The sequence below is a fragment of the Homo sapiens genome, chromosome 2, assembly GCF_000001405.40.
Source record: "Homo sapiens chromosome 2, GRCh38.p14 Primary Assembly".
Taxonomy (NCBI): domain Eukaryota; kingdom Metazoa; phylum Chordata; class Mammalia; order Primates; family Hominidae; genus Homo; species Homo sapiens.
Window position 1 is genome coordinate 42,977,551 of NC_000002.12, and position 19,350 is coordinate 42,996,900.

At 44.8% G+C, this 19,350-nt stretch overlaps 2 annotated features.

Annotated features, from left to right (window-relative positions):
- Window positions 11,796–11,969: a transcriptional cis regulatory region, noted in NCBI's record as "candidate enhancer chr2.1678 targeted for multiplex CRISPR interference". NCBI's record gives its function as "positively regulates THADA gene expression in K562 cells {active_cell/tissue: K562}" and the evidence as "EXISTENCE:mutant phenotype evidence [ECO:0000015][PMID:30612741]".
- Window positions 12,263–12,815: an enhancer, noted in NCBI's record as "NANOG-H3K27ac-H3K4me1 hESC enhancer chr2:43216953-43217505 (GRCh37/hg19 assembly coordinates)". NCBI's record gives its function as "activates a minimal SCP1, AML or CMV promoter by ChIP-STARR-seq in naive and primed H9 embryonic stem cells {active_cell/tissue: H9 hESC(naive and primed)}" and the evidence as "EXISTENCE:reporter gene assay evidence [ECO:0000049][PMID:30033119]".

Below are 19,350 nucleotides of genomic sequence, written 5' to 3' on the forward strand. Positions count from 1 at the left end.
GGGGGCATGCTGGTGTGGGGGAGTGGTGGGCGGGGAGAGGAAGGGATGATGATGAGTTCTCAGACATCTTGGGCAGCCAGTTGGAGGGAAGCTGGGCTGGCAAGGCTGACTTTGGGAACTGCTTTGTATCTGGAATTTTCTGACCAGTGTAGAAGTTGTCTCCTGAGTTGCTGTTCTGTAAGAATGTATTATATAACTTCTTGCCTAATTTGTGGCTGAGGGTGGCATTGCTGATAAACCTACTAACATGGCCCCTTGAGCATGATAGGGGTAGGGAGTTGAGGCTCCCAGCCCACAAGGAGCTTCCCATGCAGCTGGTGAGGCAGCGCAAGTGCTCAATGAGATGCGAAGCTGCAGAGAAGCGTCCATGTGGGAGGTGCCAAGAGGATGGGATCAGGGAGGGCTCAAAGTGGACTTCTTGGAGGAGGAAGGAGATTCTCAGATGGAGAAAAAGGACAGGTTTCCAAGATTATGAGAACACTGTAAGCAAAGGCACCAAGGCGTGGAAAGTTTGGGGGATGGGGAGAGATGAAAGGACACTAAGCTTTGCATACAGAAGACACTCAAAGTAAGGAAGGAAGGGTAGGAGAGTGGGAAGAAGGAAGAGGGAGCTGAGAGCTGGTCTCAAAGGGATGCGGGCAGGTCTCTGGTTTGACCACCCCCCATGAGCCAAGTTACAAAAGCACCCTAGCTTGAGGAGCCCCACAGTGGACCCTCAGCTCACCAGCCTCTGTCTTAGGCTTACTCACAAACATGAAGCTGGAGCTAAGAAACAGGCATGTGACTGCCTGCCCACCCTTGTTTGTCCTCCTCTAGGGCCTAGTGTCACCAGTGCCTTGCTGGGTAGCAGCTGCTCTAGTTCCCTGATGGAGATGGGGCTGTTTGTCACTCTGGGGTGACTGAGGGGCCAGTAACCCTCCACCAAGATGGCAGCACAGCCAGACAGGAGGGCTTTTGTCTCATCTTGATCCTCCTGGGAGGCCTGGCCATGGCCCGAGTTTGCTCAGTGTTAATTATTGACCAGGTACCCAGGGACAGGGCCCCGCTGTCCAGCTGGATGGAGGGCACATGGGTCTGGGGCCTGGGCCTCCCAGTGGATGGAGGGCACATGGGTCTGGGGCCTGGGCCTCCCAGGGCATCAGGTGGGGCTCACCTGGGGCCAGGGGAATGGAGGGCGCCGGCCTTGAGTAAGGATCAAGGAGCCCCAAATGCCTCCCCCACTGCTCCCCAAGTCCAGGATTAAATGTGGTAGAAAGTGCCCAGGCCAGGGTGGCTGGAGATTCTGCATGGAGAACATCCTCATTCCTACCCTCAGAAGGACAGGGAGGAGGGGGAGAAACACCTTTACCCCAAAAAGGAAGGAGATGGAGGACAGAGAGAAGACCCCAGAATGAAGGTGTGAGGGTCCCTGAGCTGTGTGGAGCTGCATGCTTAGACCCGGAGTCCCCACCCGGAGCAGCACATGGCCACAGACACCCTCCTCAGGCCCTCTGATGGAAAATGCCAGCCCAAGAGGGTGTCAGGAGAGCTGATTCATTCTAGGCCAGAGGGAAGAGGGATGAGAGATCCCCCAGTCCTGGCGGGACCATGACCACCTCTGGTTTCTGGCCCTGTGTGAATATGGTCTTGTCCACCCCATCAGGGAGGCCTCAGCCAAGAGCAAGGAGGAAGGTCCACAAAGGGCTGTGTATCAAGAGGCAGGAGGAGAGGAGAGAGAGTGAGTGATGCTGTTTACAGCAGGACCAGCTCTAGTGCTTGTTATATGCGTACGTGATCCTGTTTGATCATCCTAAACAGTGATGAGAGCAGGGTGCTATTACTATGGCCATTTCATAAACGAGGAAACTGAGGCATAAATCGGGCCACTTGTCCAAGTCCTGGAGCTGGGAAACAGCAGAGCAGGGGCAGTCTGATTCCTGACCTGGGTCCGGTATAACTCTGTTATCTGCAGGGAGCAGGGCAGAGGGGCAATGCAGGAAGGGGAAGGGGCTCCATGCAGCTGCGGGTTGCAGAGAAGAGGCCCAGCGAGACCAGGCCTCTGGCTCAGGGCATGCCTTTGAGGTGGAGGTGGGGTGGGAATCTGGCTTCTTCTCGATAGGGAAGGAGAATGTGTGTGCTGGCCTCTGGGTGTCAGGCAAGTGTGTCCCAGGCTGGCTTGCTCCCACAGCCCCCACCTCCTCTTCCCCTGGGGCTTTACCGGTGAGAAGTCAATATTGATGTTTTATGACCCAAGATAAACACACATTTTTTTCCTCCCATGGAGGGTTTATCTGGTCTAGAGGGTTAATCAATGACCACTTGGAGGTGGGGGAAGCCTCTGAGAAGAAAGCAGCTATTCAATTCCAGCCCTTTACCCAGCCTCTCCCCTTCCCTCCTCCCCACTACCACCTCCCCTCCCACCCTCTAGTGGGGACTGACCTGGCCCTGCAAGTGGGTGGGGGCAGGACATTTGGGAATCTGAGGCTGGAGTCCATGTGGGTGCGTTCAGGGGACTGTTAAGTAGGATGCATCCAAGGAGAGTGTCCCTAGAGCTGTGTTTGCCCTGAGCACGGTGTTGGCAGGGCAGGTGGGCCCTGCATGTGGCTGTCATGGGACCAGCCTGGTTAGGAGTGGGAAAGAGAAAATAAGTCTCGTGTCACAGAGCACTCAGAGATGACACAAGATAATGCGGGTTGCTCCTCTTGAGAACAGGGGCACTGGAGCACAGTGTGGGGCCCGACCCTGCCTCTTACCTGCTGTATGGCCTTGGACAGGTGGCTTCACGTCTCTGGGCCTCAGGTGCCTCCTGTCTCCTCTAGGGTGGTTTTGAGAATCAAACGAGATCCTGTACTTGCAGAGGAGAGAACGCAAATGGACTGTCGCCTCCTCTGCCTTCCTTGGGAAGAGCATCATTCATCTCAGGGCTTGTTAGCCTTCTGCCTACAGAAACACAGTGATGGGTCAAGGGTTTAGAAAACTGAGGGCCCCTGAATATGTACGGCTGAGATGAAGCAAGAACTGAACAGATCTGCGTAATAAAGCGAAAGGAATGCTAATGCTGATGCTGTGAGGGCCGCTCAGGAACGCGGTCAAGGCACAAGAAATGGATGAGAACAGAGAGATACCTGGCATCAGGAGAGAGAGGGAGGCTTAGAGAATGTGGTGTGGGGCAGAGTAAGGACCGGCCAAGAAGCAATGCCAGGAAGAGATTCCCTGTGCTGGGGAGTGACCAACATGTTTTGAAGATGTGATATGTGTTCTTGAAGTTGTTTTTGACCTTGTGCTATAATCACCCCCCATTCCTCCCGAACTTGACCAAACGTTGGCCACACACAAGAGCCTTGGGTATGTGGTTCATTGGAAGGGATGAAAGAGAGATGGGCGTCAGCTTAGAGAGAGGCGGTTCAGAGAGCGGATAGCAGGCACAGGCTGACAGCCACAACAAGGAGCAAAGTGACCTTGGAGAGCCCATTGAATTGAAACGCTCACCCCAAAGAACCCTCAGGGATTTTGGAAAATGGAAGGTGATTCCACAAAACCGGAGAAGTTGAAGACATGAAAGCTAGAGGCACCTTAGTTAAATAGATAAAGGGTGCTTTAGACACAAGTTGCACTATAAATGCCCATTATGATGGAATTGAGTCATAGTCTGAGAAAATGGAACTTGAACATATGTGGTCACTTATGCTTCTGGGCACTTGGCTGGGCCTGTAAAGATGGTAAGATGTGGTCCTCGCCCCTCAAAGAGTTCTTTCAAGAGGAGACAGACTGTAGCAGGCATGACTGATTATCTCCCTACACCCCTGTTTCTCATTTGCTAGAATCCCCACGTTTTTAGCTGGGCACATGGCAGCCCAGAATAAGGACTACATTTCATGGTCTCCTTTGCAACTAAGAGTAGCCCTATGACCATGTTTTAGCCAGAGGGAGGTTGTCTTAGTCTGTTCCAGTTGCTATAACAAAACACCTAAGTCTGGGTAATTTATAAACAATAGAAATGTAATTTCTTACAGTTCTGGAGGCCAGGAAGTCCCACTGGCAGATGCAGTGTCTGGTAAGGGCTGCTCTCTGCTTTTTTTTTTTTTTTTTTTTTTTTTGAGATGATAGATAGAGTCTCGCTTTGTTGCCCAGGCTGGAGTGCAGTGGTGCGATCTTGGCTCACTGCAACCTCACCTCCCAGGTTCAAGTGATTCTCCTGCCTCAGCCTCCCAAGTAGCTGGATTACAGGCACCCACCATTATGCCTGGCTAATTTTTGTATTTTTAGTAGAGACGGGGTTTCTCCATGTTGGCCAGGCTGGTCTTGAACTCCTGACCTCAGGTGATCTGCCTGCCTTGGACTCCCAGAGTTCTAGGATTACAGGCATGAGCCGCTGTGCCCAGCCACTTTCTACTCTTAAGATGACACCTTCTTGCTGTGTCCTCAGACAGTGGAAGGGCAAAAGAAAGGGACTAGGGTGCTCCCTTCAACCTCTTTTATAAGGTCACTGTATTAGTCCATTTGTGTTGCTATAAAGGAATACCTGAGGCTGTGTAATTTATAAAGAAAAGAGGTTTATTTGGCTCACAGTTCTGCAGGCTGTACAGGCATGGCACCAGCATCTGTTCAGCTTCTGGCGAAGCCTCAGATAGCTTACAGTCAGAAAGCTTACGGGAAGGAAAAGGGGGAGCCAGTGTGTCCCATGAAAAGACAGGGAGCAAGAGAGAGGAGGACGTGCTAGGCTTCTTTAAAGAATGAGCACTCACCCCGTCTCTACTAAAAAAATACAAAAAATTAGCCGGGCACCGTGGCGGGCACCTGTAGTCCCAGCTACTCAGGTAGGCTGAGGCAGGAGAATGGCGTGAACCCGGGAGGCGGAGCTTGCAGTGAGCCGAGATCGCACCACTGCACTCCAGCCTGGGTGACAGAGCGAGACTCCGTCTCAACAACAACAACAACAAAAACAATCAGCTCTCACATGAACTTAACGGAGTAAGAACTTACTCATTAGCATAGGGAGGGTATCAAGCCATTCATGAGGGATCTGCCCCCATGACTCAAACACCTCTTATTAGGCCCACCCCAACAGTGGAGGTCTCATTTCAACATGAGATTTGGAGGAAACAAAATATCCAAACCATGTCAGTCACTAAGCCCATTCATGAGGGCTCTGCCCTTATGACTTAATCACCTCCCAAAGGCTTCACTTTTAATACAATCACACTGGCAATTAAGTTTCAACACATTAATTTTGGGGGACACATTCGGACCATAGCAGAGGTGAACAGAAGGAATGTATACAACTATTAAATTGCACATTGCCCTGCATCTTCCGCCCTTCCTGTTCACTGGAATGGGAATTTGGGGGTCAATCATGTTGGACCCTGTGGCTGAGGACAACATTCTGGATGGTGGAGGTTCAAGACAAAAGAAGCTCAGAGCCCTGATGACTTTGTACAGCAGAACCATCACACCAGCTCAGCTCTCTCATGGCAGAGAAATAAAATTCTCTCTTGTTTAAGCTGCTCTCATGTGTGGTCTTCTAGTTATAGCTGCCAAAATCTATTCCATAACTAATTCAGTATATCTGAAAGGAGAGTACTGTCATAAAAGAGTCTCATAGACATGACACTGGCTTCGTAGTGCACAGGAAAAATAAAATTCTAAGGCCCCTCAACCAGCTGCATAGACCCCTACTCTCAGCCAAGGGCATTCCAAAGCTCACCTGAAAAGCTAGTTCAGGCCATGAGGGGAAGGAGAAGCCAGATGTGTCTCATTAACCTCCTCTCTTTTGGAATTACTGCTAGGACAGACTCTTCAAGTTTGATAAGAAACATTTACAATCTATTCTCTCCGAAGCCTGTGGTGAAGCTGTGGGGAGGCTTCACCTGCATGGTAAAACCTTGGTTTCCACAACCCCTTATTGAAACCCAGACATTCCTTTCTATTGATAACTCTTTCAACCAATTGTCAATCAGAAAATCTTTAAATCTACCTATGACGTAGAAGCCCCTCCACCTCAAATTGACCCGCCTTTCCAGACCAAACCAATGTACACATTACAGATATCGATGGATGTCTTATGTCTCCCTAAAATATGTAAAAGCGAGCTGTGCCACGACCACCTTGGGTACATATTGTCAGGAACTCCTGAGGCTGTGTCATGGGTGCATCCTTAACTTTGGCAAAATAAACCTTTTAGATGGATTGAGACCTGTCTCAGATATTTTTGGCTTACAAAAGTCAGGTGGAGAAGACATCAATATTGCAGACTGGCAAGTGGGTGACCCTCATTGTGCTCTGGCAAAAGACTCAGGAAAACTGTCATCTGTGGTCCTTTGGCAGGGAGACCACATGATCTCTGAGCCTGTAACTCTAGGACAACTTGAGAATCAGTGAGTATCGACGACTTGCTGCTTTCAGCAAATTCCTGGAAAAGAGAGGTGAATGCAGTGGGGTTAAACCTGGCGAGTCTGCAAGAAGAGAGGGAAGGGAATATAGTTTGGCCAAGAGAACCCACTGCCTGCTGCCTGTCATCTAAGTTGACTGGGAGTCTCAGAATTTGGAGCTTTGAAGAGTTAGGAGACCCAAGCGCCTTCTAGATCCCAAATGGAAGCAGCGACCTAAGTTGGTGCTGCGGAGACAGCCGTAGTGGGAGGTAAGATGATGGCCCTGAGCCATTCTCAGGCTTTACCAGTTAAGAATTCTCTACCAGACAATGGGAGTAAGCCGGCAGCCAAGATCAGATTAAGGGTGTTCCCTTTCCACCCAAGCCTATTGTCTCAGATGGCCTGAAGATAACAGCCATTCAGCTGAGAGAGGGGTCTGGGGAGAGCACAGATGCCAGTAAAAACAGAACCAGAGTTTTCAGGCTGGCAAACTCTGTCAAGACAAGACCTTTGGCTGGAGTTACCTGCACATGGAACTGACTAGAAGCAAATAGTTCGGAAGCCTGAAAGAAGTATGTTCTCCAATGCCCACTTCAGATGTAGGATGATAACCCAATGAGAGCCCCCCCCAGAGGGCAAAACCAGGGGCCAAAGAAAACACTGGACAAGGGAGTGACTTCCAGAAAATGGAAGAGCAAAGAGTCTTTATAATTTCTGACTGGCATTATTTGGTAATTGCTATAGACTGGGGCCATCTGTGCAGTTCCCATTGTTTGATTTTCCGAAAGAGATGTTTTTTAATTGTGGTATGTGGTTCCTGTTCCATCATTCCATCCCACGATATTCCATCATTATGTGTTAGGGGAGGGTGGGGGCAGATGACGTGTCTTTCAGTGTTCTGGTCTCCAGGCCACAGGTAGCCACGTCCGGGCCTGACTGAGGTGTGGGGCACAGGACAGTGTGGGACTTGAGATGGTTTTCCTCCAAAGGTAGCGTTTGTCTTTTGTATGTGAAAATAAAAGTGATACCTGGGTGGCTAAATTGGTGAACTGTGGCAGAGACTGATAATGTACCCCAAGATTCACTTTTCCCTTGCCTCTCATAATAGTCCAGCATCTGACTTTTAGTGAAACGCATGGACCCCTGGATAAAATGCATTCTCCTGTCTCCTTTGCAGTTATATGTGGCTGTAACTAAGTTCTAGCCAATGGGATGTGAATCAAGTGCTGGTACAAGTCTAGATCATGCCATAAAAAGGCAGGAGACGCTGTCCCCTTCCCCTGTCCTGATGGCTGGAAGGTGGACTGTTGGAGAGGCACGCTTGACTGTGGAAGGAGCTTGGATCTCAACAACATTGTAGAGCTGAACAAGCATGCCAGTTAGGACTTGGATGCGAGAGAGAAATGAACTTGGTTAGACCACTGGTATTTGGGGATTTTCTTGTTACAGCAGCGGAGCATTAAACCTAATGTAGTTGCACCTTAATTACTACAATACAATGGAATAAGTGCACTAGTATGGGCATGTGCAAGGCGTCATGGGAGTGCAGTGAAAATGGTGATTAATTAACTCTGTCTGGGAGAAATCTGGGAAGCCTTCCAATAGGGGGTGATATTTGAAATTAGTCTTGAAGGGTAGGAGAATTTCCCAGATGCACAAGTAATGTGAAAGGGGAGCAGGTACTTGACAGTTGGGCAGTTTGAGCAAAAGCTTGAAATGATGTAAGCACCTGGTGAAAGGTCCAGAGTCATAAAGAGGGGGACAGGGTCCTGGGAGACAGGACCGTGAGGGAGATGGGGTGGTTGTGAGGGAGCTTGAATGTCCTGTTACAGAGTTTAGACTTTATCATTTGGAACCACTCAGGGGCTTGATGAGGAAGGAACGCAATCTGATTTTTTTCTTTTTTTGAGATGGAGTCTCACTCTGTCACCCAGGCCGGAGTGAGTTCCCCAATCATAGCTCACTGCAGCCTCTACCTCCTGGCCTCAAGCGATCCTCCTACCTTAGCCTCTCAAGTAGCTGGGGCTATAGGCATACACCACCATACCCAGCTAATTTTTAAAAATGTTTGTAGAGACAGGGCTCGCTATGTTGCCCAGGCTGCTCTTGAACTCCTAGTCTCGAGTGATCCTCCCACCTTGGCCTCCCAAAGTGCTGGGATTACAGGTATGAGCCACACCACTTGGTCTGATTTCTTTAAAAAAGGTAGGTCTGGGCCGGGCATGGTGGCTCATGCCTGTAATCCCAGCACTTTGGGAGGCCGAGGCAGGTGGATCATGAGGTCAGGAGATCGAGACCATCTGGGCTAACATGGTGAAACGCCATCTCTACTAAAAACACAAAAAATTAGCCGGGCGTGGTGGCGGGTGCCTATAGTCCCAGCTACTTGAGAGGCTGAGGCAGGAGAATGGCATGAACCCAGGAGGCGGAGCTTGCAGTGAGCCAAGATCGCACCACTGCACTCCAGACTGGGAGAGAGAGCGAGACTGTGTCTCAAAAAAAAAAAAAAAAAAAAAAAAAGAAAGGTAGGCCTGGCAACAGTGTGTGAGATGGATTTGAGAAGAGGAGGCCCAGGGCAGAAGGAGGGAACTATGTAAATATCACATAAGCCAATTCTGATTTCCCACAGAAACAATATATTAATAAAGGATTATGTTCCTGGCCATGGAACTGATATACAAAATTTTATAGAACTGACCACAAAATCAAACTCAGGCAGCTATCAAGGGTACACCCATAATCTGTACATCACAAAATTTTCTAACTAGTATATGAATAATTAAGCAGGGCCACACAGTAATGAAATATTACAATGCATGATGTAATACAATATCCTTAGTCTCATATTTCTGCCTTACAAAAGCAATCAGTTATTTTTTAACAGCTTTATTGAGGTATACTTGACTTATGATAAACTGCACATATTTCAAGTGTACCTAATGTGATAAGTTTTGACATGTTTATACACCCTTGAAACCATCACCACAATCAAGTAAATGAATTTTTCATCACCCGAAAAGTTTCCTCCTATGCAATCCTTCCTTCTACCTCTTTCCCATTCCCCCCATCCCCAGGAAATCACTGATCTGCTTTTTGTCACTATAGTTTGCATTTTTTAGAGTTTTATATAAATGGACTCAAACAGCAGGTATTCTTTTTTGCCTAGCTTCTTTCTTTCAGCATTATTATTTTGAGAATCATCCCTGTTGCAGTATGTATCAATACTTCATTCTTTACAATGCTGAGTAATATTCCATTGTATAGATATAACACAGTTTGTTTATCCATTCATCTGTTAATGGACATTTTGGTCGTTTCCAGTTTTAGGCTATTACAAATAAAGCTGGTATGAGCATTGATGAATAAGTCTTTGTATGGACACTTTTATTGCTCTGGACAAATACCTAGGAGTGGAATGGCTGGATTGCACAATTGTGTATGTTTAACATTTATTTTTTTTTTTTGAGATGGAGTTTCACTCTTGCTGCCCAGGCTGGAGTACAATGGCATGATCTTGGCTCACCGCAACCTCCTCCCGGATTCAAGCAATTCTCCTGACTCAGCCTCCTGAGTAGCTGGATTACAGGCATGTGCCACCACGCCCGGCTAATTTTGTATTTTTAGTAGAGATGGGGTTTCTCCATGGTGGTCAGGCTGGTCTTGAACTCCCAACCTCAGGTGATCTGCCTGGCTCAGCCTCCCAGAGTATTGGGATTACAGGTGTGAGCCACCGCACCAGGCCACAGTATGCGTATGTTTAACTTTTTAAGAAATTGTCCAAATGTTTTCCTAAGTGTTTGGTGGTTGTACCATTTAAGTTCTCATTAGCTGTGTATGAAAATTCCAGTTCCTCCACATCCCTGCCAGCACTTCGTATAGTCAGTCTTTTTTATTTTAGCTATTCTAATAGTTAGTGGAATGAGAGATCTTGTATCCATTTTTTTAGGCTGCTTTCTTCTTATTAAATTAAAAAAAAATTTTAGAGACAGGGTCTCTTTCTGTCACCTATGCTGGAATGCAGTGGCAAGATCATGGCCCACTGCAGTCTCAAACTCCTGGGCTGAAGCGATCCCCCTGCCTTAGCCTTCCTAGTAGCTAGGGCTACCAGCATGCACCACCACACTCAGCTAATTTTTTAAAAATGTTTGTAGAGAAGGGGTCTTGGTATGTTGCCCAAGTTGGTCTTGACCTCCTGGATTTAAGTGATCCTCCCATCTCAGCCTCCCAATTAGCTGGGACTACAGGTACATACCACTATGCCCAGCTAATTTTTAATTTACTTTTTAATTTTTTGTAGAGATGGGGTCTTGCTATGTTGCCCAGGCTGGTCTCAAACTTCTGGCTTCAAAGGATCATCCTGCCTTGGCCTCGGAAATTTCTGGGATTACAGGTGTGAGCTACTGCACCTGGCATTATTAAGTTTTTTTGTTTGTTTGTTTTGAGACGGAGTTTTGCTCTTGTTGCCCTGGCAGGAGTGCAGTGGCATGATCTTGGCTCACTGCAGCCTCTGCCTCCCGGTTTCAAGTGATTCTCGTGCTTCAGCCTCCCAAGTAGCTGGGATTACAGGCATGTGCCACCATGTCTGGCTAATTTTGTATTTTTAGTACAGATGGGGTTTCACTGTGTTGGACAACCTACCAATTTGTTTCATTATGGATCATGCTTTTGGTGTTATATCTAAGAAATTTTTGCCTACTCCATGGTCAAAAAGGCTTTCTTCTAGATGTTTCACAGTTTTAGATTTTACATTTAGGTCTAGAGTCCACTTGAAGTTATATTTTACGTATGGTGCAAAGTATAGTTTACTTTTCTGCTTATGGATATGTTCCAGTACCATTTGTTGAAAAAGACTATCATTTTTGTTTTGTTTTGTTTTTCGAGGCAGTGTCTTGCTTTGTCACTCAGGCTGGAGGCTGGAGTGCAGTAGCACAAACATGGCTCACTGCAGCCTTGACCTCCCAGGCTCAAGTGATCCACCTCAGCCTTCCAAGTAGCTGGGACTATAGGCATGTACCAGCACACCCGGCTAATTTTTGTATTTTTGTGGAGACTGGGTTTCCCCATGTTACCCAGGCTGGTCTTGAACTCCTGAGCTCAAGCAGTCCTCCTGGCTCAGCCTCCCAAAGTGCTGGGATTACAGGTGTGAGCCACTGCGACTGGCCAAGACTATCCTTTCTTGTACTGCATTGCCTTTATGCCTTTGTTAGAAATCACTTGTCCATTTAAATATGGGTCTATTTCTGGACTTTCAATTCTGTTCCATTGATCTGTTTGTCTGTCTTTATACCAATATCACACTGTCTTGATTACTGCACTTTATAATAAGTGTTAAAATCAGATGGTGTTTGTCTTTCAACTTTATGCTTCTTCAAAAGTTGTTGTGATTATTCATTTCTTTGCACTTCCATATGAGTTTTAGAATTAGTTTCTCAATTTATATATATATTTTAAACTATTTTATATACAGAAAACACAAAGAAGGAATTAAAAATTATAATAATCTTGCCACTTAGAGATAATTCCTGGTAATATTTTGGGTGTATACATCGTTAATTGTTCTATGCTTTGAAATATTTGCGGGGAGGAGCCAAGATGGCCGAATAGGAACAGCTCCGGTCTACAGCTCCCAGCGTGAGCGACGCAGAAGACGGTGATTTCTGCATTTCCATCTGAGGTACCGGGTTCATCTCACTAGGGAGTGCCAGACAGTGGGCGCAAGTCAGTCGGTGTGCGCACCGTGCGCGAGCCGAAGCAGGGCGAGGCATTGCCTCACTCGGGAAGCGCAAGGGGTCAGGGAGTTCCCTTTCCGAGTCAAAGAAAGGGGTGACGGACGCACCTGGAAAATCGGGTCACTCCCACCCGAATATTGCGCTTTTCAGACCGGCTTAAAAAACGGCGCACCACGAGATTATATCCTGCACCTGGCTCAGAGGGTCGTACGCCCACAGAGTCTCACTGATTGCTAGCACAGCAGTCTGAGATCAAACTGCAAGGCCGCAGCGAGGCTGGGGGAGGGGTGCCCACCATTGCCCGGGCTTGCTTAGGTAAACAAAGCAGCCGGGAAGCTCGAACTGGGTGGAGCCCACCACAGCTCAAGGAGGCCTGCCTGCGTCTGTAGGCTCCACCTCTGGGGGCAGGGCACAGACAAACAAAAAGACAGCAGTAACCTCTGCAGACTTAAATGTCCCTGTCTGACAGCTTTGAAGAGAGCAGTGGCTCTCCCAGTATGCAGCTGGAGATCTGAGAACGGGCAGACTGCCTCCTCAAGTGGGTCCCTGACCCCGGACCCCCGAGCAGCCTAACTGGGAGGCACCCTCCCGCAGGGGCACACTGACACCTCACACTGCAGGGTACTCCAACAGACCTGCAGCTGAGGGTCCTGTCTGTTAGAAGGAAAACTAACAAACAGAAAGGACATCCACACCAAAAACCCATCTGTACATCACCATCATCAAAGACCAAAAGTAGATAAAACCAAAAAGATGGGGAAGAAACAGAACAGAAAAACCGGAAACTCTAAAAATCAGAGCGCCTCTCCTCCTCCAAAGGAACGCAGCTCCTCACCAGCAACGGAACAAAGCTGGATGGAGAATGACTTTGATGAGCTGAGAGAAGAAGGCTTCAGACGATCAAATTACTCTGAGCTATGGGAGGACATTCAAACCAAAGGCAAAGAAGGTGAAAACTTTGAAAAAAATTTAGAAGAATGTATAACTAGAATAACCAATACAGAGAAGTGCTTAAAGGAGCTGATGGAGCTGAAAACCAAGGCTCGAAAACTACATGAAGAATGCAGAAGCCTCAGGAGCCGATGTGATCAACTGGAAGAAAGGGTATCAGCAATGGAAGATGAAATGAATGAAAAGAAGTAAGAAGGAAAGTTTAGAGAAAACAGAATAAAAAGAAATGAGCAAAGCCTCCAACAAATATGGGACTATGTGAAAAGACCAAATCTACATCTGATTGGTGTACCTGAAAGTGATGGGGAGAATGGAACCAAGTTGGAAAACACTCTGCAGGATATTATCCAGGAGAATTTCCCCAATCTAGCAAGGCAGGCCAACGTTGAGATTCAGGAAATACAGAGAACGCCACAAAGATACTCCTCGAGAAGAGCAACTCCAAGACACATAATTGTCAGATTCACCAAATTTGAAATGAAGGAAAAAATGTTAAGGGCAGCCAGAGAGAAAGGTCGGGTTACCCTCAAAGGGAAGCCCATCAGACTAACAGCGGATCTCTCAGCAGAAACCCTACAAGCCAGAAGAGAGTGGGGGCCAATATTCAACATTCTTAAAGAAAAGAATTTTCAACCCAGAATTTCATATCCAGCCAAACTAAGCTTCATAAGTGAAGGAGAAATAAAATACTTTACAGACAAGCAAATGCTGAGAGATTTTGTCACCACCAGGCCTGCCCTAAAAGAGCTCCTGAAGGAAGCACTAAACATGGAAAGGAACAACCGGTACCAGCCACTGCAAAATCATGCCAAAATGTAAAGACCATCAAGACTAGGAAGAAACTGCATCAACTAATGAGCAAAATAACCAGCTAGCATCATAATGACAGGATCAAATTCACACATAACAATATTAACTTTAAATGTAAATGGACTAAATGCTCCAATTAAAAGACACAGACTGGCAAATTGGATAAAGAGTCAAGACCCATCAGTGTGCTGTATTCAGGAAACCCATCTCACGTGCAGAGACACACACAGGCTCAAAATAAAAGGATGGAGGAAGATCTACCAAGTCAATGGAAAACAAAAAAAGGCAGGGGTTGCAATCCTAGTCTCTGATAAAACAGACTTTAAACCAACAAAGATCAAAAGAGACAAAGAAGGCCATTACATAATGGTAAAGGGATCAATTCCACAAGAAGAGCTAACTATCCTAAATATATATGCACCCAATACAGGAGCACCCAGATTCATAAAGCAAGTCCTGAGTGACCTACAAAGAGACTTAGACTCCCACACATTAATAATGGGAGACTTTAACACCCCACTGTCAACATTAGACAGATCAACGAGACAGAAAGTCAACAAGGATACCCAGGAATTGAACTCAGCTCTGCACCAAGCGGACCTAATGGACATCTACAGAACTCTCCACCCCAAATCAACAGAATATACATTTTTTTCAGCACCACACCACACCTATTCCAAAATTGACCACATACTTGCAAGTAAAGCTCTCCTCAGCAAATGTAAAAGAACAGAAATTATAACAAACTATCTCTCAGACCACAGTGCAATCAAACTAGAACTCAGGATTAAGAATCTCACTCAAAACCGCTCAACTGCATGGAAACTGAACAACCTGCTCCTGAATGACTACTGGGTACATAACGAAATGAAGGCAGAAATAAAGATGTTCTTTGGAACCAATGAGAACAAAGACACAACATACCAGAATCTCTGGGACGCATTCAAAACAGTGTGTAGAGGGAAATTTATAGCACTAAATGCCCACAAGAGAAAGCGGGAAAGATCCAAAATTGACACCCTAACATCACAATTAAAAGAACTAGAAAAGCAAGAGCAAACACATTCAAAAGCTAGCAGAAGGCAAGAAATAACTAAGATCAGAGCAGAACTGAAGGAAATACAGACACAAAAAACCCTTCAAAAAATTAATGAATCCAGGAGCTGGTTTTTTGAAAGAATCAACAAAATTGATAGACCGCTAGCAAGACTAATAAAGAAAAAAAGATAGAAGAATCTAATAGATGCAATAAAAAATGATAAAGGGGATATCACCACTGATCCCACAGAAATACAAACTACCATCAGAGAATACTACAAACACCTCTATGCAAATAAACTAGAAAATCTAGAAGAAATGGATAAATTCCTTGACACATACACTCTCCCAAGACTAAACCAGGAAGAAGTTGAATCTCTGAATAGACCAATAACAGGATCTGAAATTGTGGCAATAATCAATAGCTTACCAACCAAAAAGAGTCCAGGACCAGATGGATTCACAGCTGAATTCTACCAGAGGTACAAGGAGGAACTGGTACCATTCCTTCTGAAACTATTCCAATCAATAGAAAAAGAGGGAATCCTCCCTAACTCATTTTATGAGGCCAGCATCATTCTGATACCAAAGCCAGGCAGAGACACAACCAAAAAAGAGAATTTTAGACCAATATCCTTGATGAACATTGATGTAAAAATCCTCAATAAAATGCTGGCAAATCGAATCCAGCAGCACATCAAAAAGCTTATCCACCATGATCAAGTGGGCTTCATCCCTGGGATGCAAGGCTGGTTCAATATATGCAAATCAATAAATGTAATCCAGCATATAAACAGAGCCAAAGACAAAAACCACATGATTATCTCAATAGATGCAGAAAAAGCCTTTGACAAAATTCAACAACCCTTCATGCTAAAAACTCTCAATAAATTAGGTATTGATGGGACGTATTTCAAAATAATAAGAGCTATCTATGACAAACCCACAGCCAATATCATACTGAATGGGCAAAAACTGGAAGCATTCCCTTTGAAAACTGGCACAAGACAGGGATGCCCTCTCTCACCGCTCCTATTCAACACAGTGTTGGAAGTTCTGGCCAGGGCAATTAGGCAGGAGAAGGAAATAAAGGGTATTCAATTAGGAAAAGAGGAAGTCAAATTGTCCCTGTTTGCAGATGACATGATTGTATATCTAGAAAACCCCATTGTCTCAGCCCAAAATCTCCTTAAGCTGATAAGCAACTTCAGCAAAGTCTCAGGATACAAAATCAATGTACAAAAATCACAAGCATTCTTATACACCAATAACAGACAAACAGAGAGCCAAATCATGAGTGAACTCCCATTCACAATTGCTTCAAAGAGAATAAAATACCTAGGAATCCAACTTACAAGGGATGTGAAGGACCTCTTCAAGGAGAACTACAAACCACTGCTCAAGGAAATAAAAGAGGATACAAACAAATGGAAGAACATTCCATGCTCATGGGTAGGAAGACTCAATATCGTGAAAATGGCCATACTGCCCAAGGTAATTTACAGATTCAATGCCATCCCCATCAAGCTACCAATGCCTTTCTTCACAGAATTGGAAAAAACTACTTTAAAGTTCATATGGAACCAAAAAAGAGCCCGCATCGCCAAGTCAATCCTAAGCCAAAAGAACAAAGCTGGAGGCATCACACTACCTGACTGCAAACTATACTACAAGGCTGCAGTCACCAAAACAGCAGGGTACTGGTACCAAAACAGAGATATAGATCAATGGAACAGAACAGAGCCCTCAGAAATGACGCCGCATATCTACAACTATCTGATCTTTGACAAACCTGAGAAAAACAAGCAATGGGGAAAGGATTCCCTATTTAATAAATGGTGCTGGGAAAACTGGCTAGCCATATGCAGAAAGCTGAAACTGGATCCCTTCCTTACACCTTATACAAAAATCAATTCAAGATGGATTAAAGACTTAAACGTTAGACCTAAAACCATAAAAACCCCAGAAGAAAACCTAGGCATTACCATTCAGGACATAGGCATGGGCAAGGACTTCATGTCTAAAACACCAAAAGCAATGGCAACAAAAGCCAAATTGACAAATGGGATCTAATTAAACTAAAGAGCTTCTGCACAGCAAAAGAAACTACCATCAGAGTGAACAGGCAACCTACACAATGGGAGAAAATTTTCGCAACCTACTCATCTGACAAAGGGCTAATATCCAGAATCTACAATGAACTCAAACAAATTTACAAGAAAAAAACAAACAACCCCATCAAAAAGTGGGCAAAGGACATGAACAGACACTTCTCAAAAGAAGACATTTATGCAGCCAAAAAACACATGAAAAAATGCTCATCATCACTGGCCATCAGAGAAATGCAAATCAAAACCACAGTGAGATACCATCTCACACCAGTTAGAATGGCAATCATTAAAAAGTCAGGAAACAACAGGTGCTGGAGAGGATGTGGAGAAATAGGAACACTTTTACACTGTTGGTGGGACTGTAAACTAGTTCACCCATCGTGGAAGTCAGTGTGGCGATTCCTCAGGGATCTAGAACTGGAAATACCATTTGACCCAGCCATCCCATTACTGGGTATATACCCAAAGGACTATAAATCATGCTGCTATAAAGACACATGCACACGTATGTTTATTGCGGCACTATTCACAATAGCAAAGACTTGGAACCAACCCAAATGTCCAACAATGATAGACTGGATTAAGAAAATGTGGCACATATACACCATGGAATACTATGCAGCCATAAAAAAATGATGAGTTCATGTCCTTTGTAGGGACATGGATGAAATTGGAAAACATCATTCTCAGTAAACTATCGCAAGAACAAAAAACCAAACACCACATATTCTCACTCATAGGTGGGAATTGAACAATGAGAACACATGGACACAGGAAGGGGAATATCACACTGGGGACTGTTGTGGGGTGGGGGGAGGGGGGAGGGATAGCATTGGGAGATATACCTAATGCTAGATGACAAGTTAGTGGGTGCAGTGCACCAGCATGGCACATGTATACATATGTAACTAACCTGCACAATGTGCACATGTACCCTAAAACTTAAAGTATAATAAAAAATAAAAATAAAAAAAATATTTGCTTTATTAAATGTTTATGTAGCACTTATGATGTGCTAAGCATTGTTTATTCCATCAGGTTTACTGAAATATAATTTACATACAATAAAATTCACCCTTATCAAGTGTACAGCTTAGTGAGTTTTGGCAAATATGTATAGGTATGTAACCACCATCACGATCAAAATACAAAATAGATTCATCTCTCCAAGAAGTCCCCTCATTCCCTTTTACAATTATTCCCCTCTTCCTACCCCCAGGAATCTCTGGTCTGATTTCCATCCCTATACTTTTGCCTTTTTCCAGAATGACACATATGTGGAATCACAGTATGTAATCTTTTTGTGTCTGGCTTCTTTCAGTTGACATTGCTTTTGAGATTCACCCACATTGTGTATATGAGTACTTTGTTCCCTTTTAGTGTTAAGCAGTATTCCATTGTATGGACATACCACAGTATGTTTATCCATTCACCGGTTGATGGACATTTGGGTTGTTTCCAGTTTGGGGCAATTGTGAATAAAGCTGCTATAAACATTTGTGTGTATTTGTGTGTACATGTGTTTTCATTTCTCTTCCCTAAGTATCAAGAAGTAGGATTGCTGAATTATTTGATATGTGGATATTTAACTTTATAAGAAACAAAGTGTTTTCCTAGGTGCTGTACCATTCTATATTTCCACCAGCAATGAATGAAAGTTCCAGTTGCTCTGAGTCTTCCTCAGCACTTGGTATTGTCTGTTTTTTTAATTTTAGCCATTCTGGTTGGTGTGTAATGCTGTTGCCTTGTGGTTTTCATTTGTGTTTCCCTAATAACTAATGAGGTTAAATATCTTTTATGTATTTTTTTAAATCTGTGTATCTTTTTTGGTGAAATGTCTGTTTAAATTTTGGGGCTATATTTTAATTAGGTATATTCTTTCTATTGAGGTGTAGGAGTTCATTCATATATATATATATGTAATTTTGTATGTGTGTACATATATATATATTTTGTAGAGTACTATTTTAAGTGCTTTACAAATATTAATCTTCTTAAAACCCCTATGAAGTAAGCACTGTTATTTTCCTTATTTTACAGAAGGAGAAACTGCAGTAGAAGAAGGTTGAGTAACTAGCCCATCACTCAGCTAGAACTGGCCACCAGCATGGATCCCAGATAGCCCTACTCCAGAGTTGCCCATGCTATTAGCCGTGACGCCATGCTGGCTGTCCACACCCATGCCTTTTTCCTGCCTTAATCTTGCAATGATTCATAAGGTGAGGGAGCACCCACACTGGGGTGGCAGCATATAGATGTCTTCTGTTGGAGAGATTTTCAAGGAAACTTGTTTTTTTGTTGTTGTTTTTGTTTTTTTGTTTTGTTTTGTTTTGTTTTTGAGACGGAGTCTTGCTCTGTCACCCA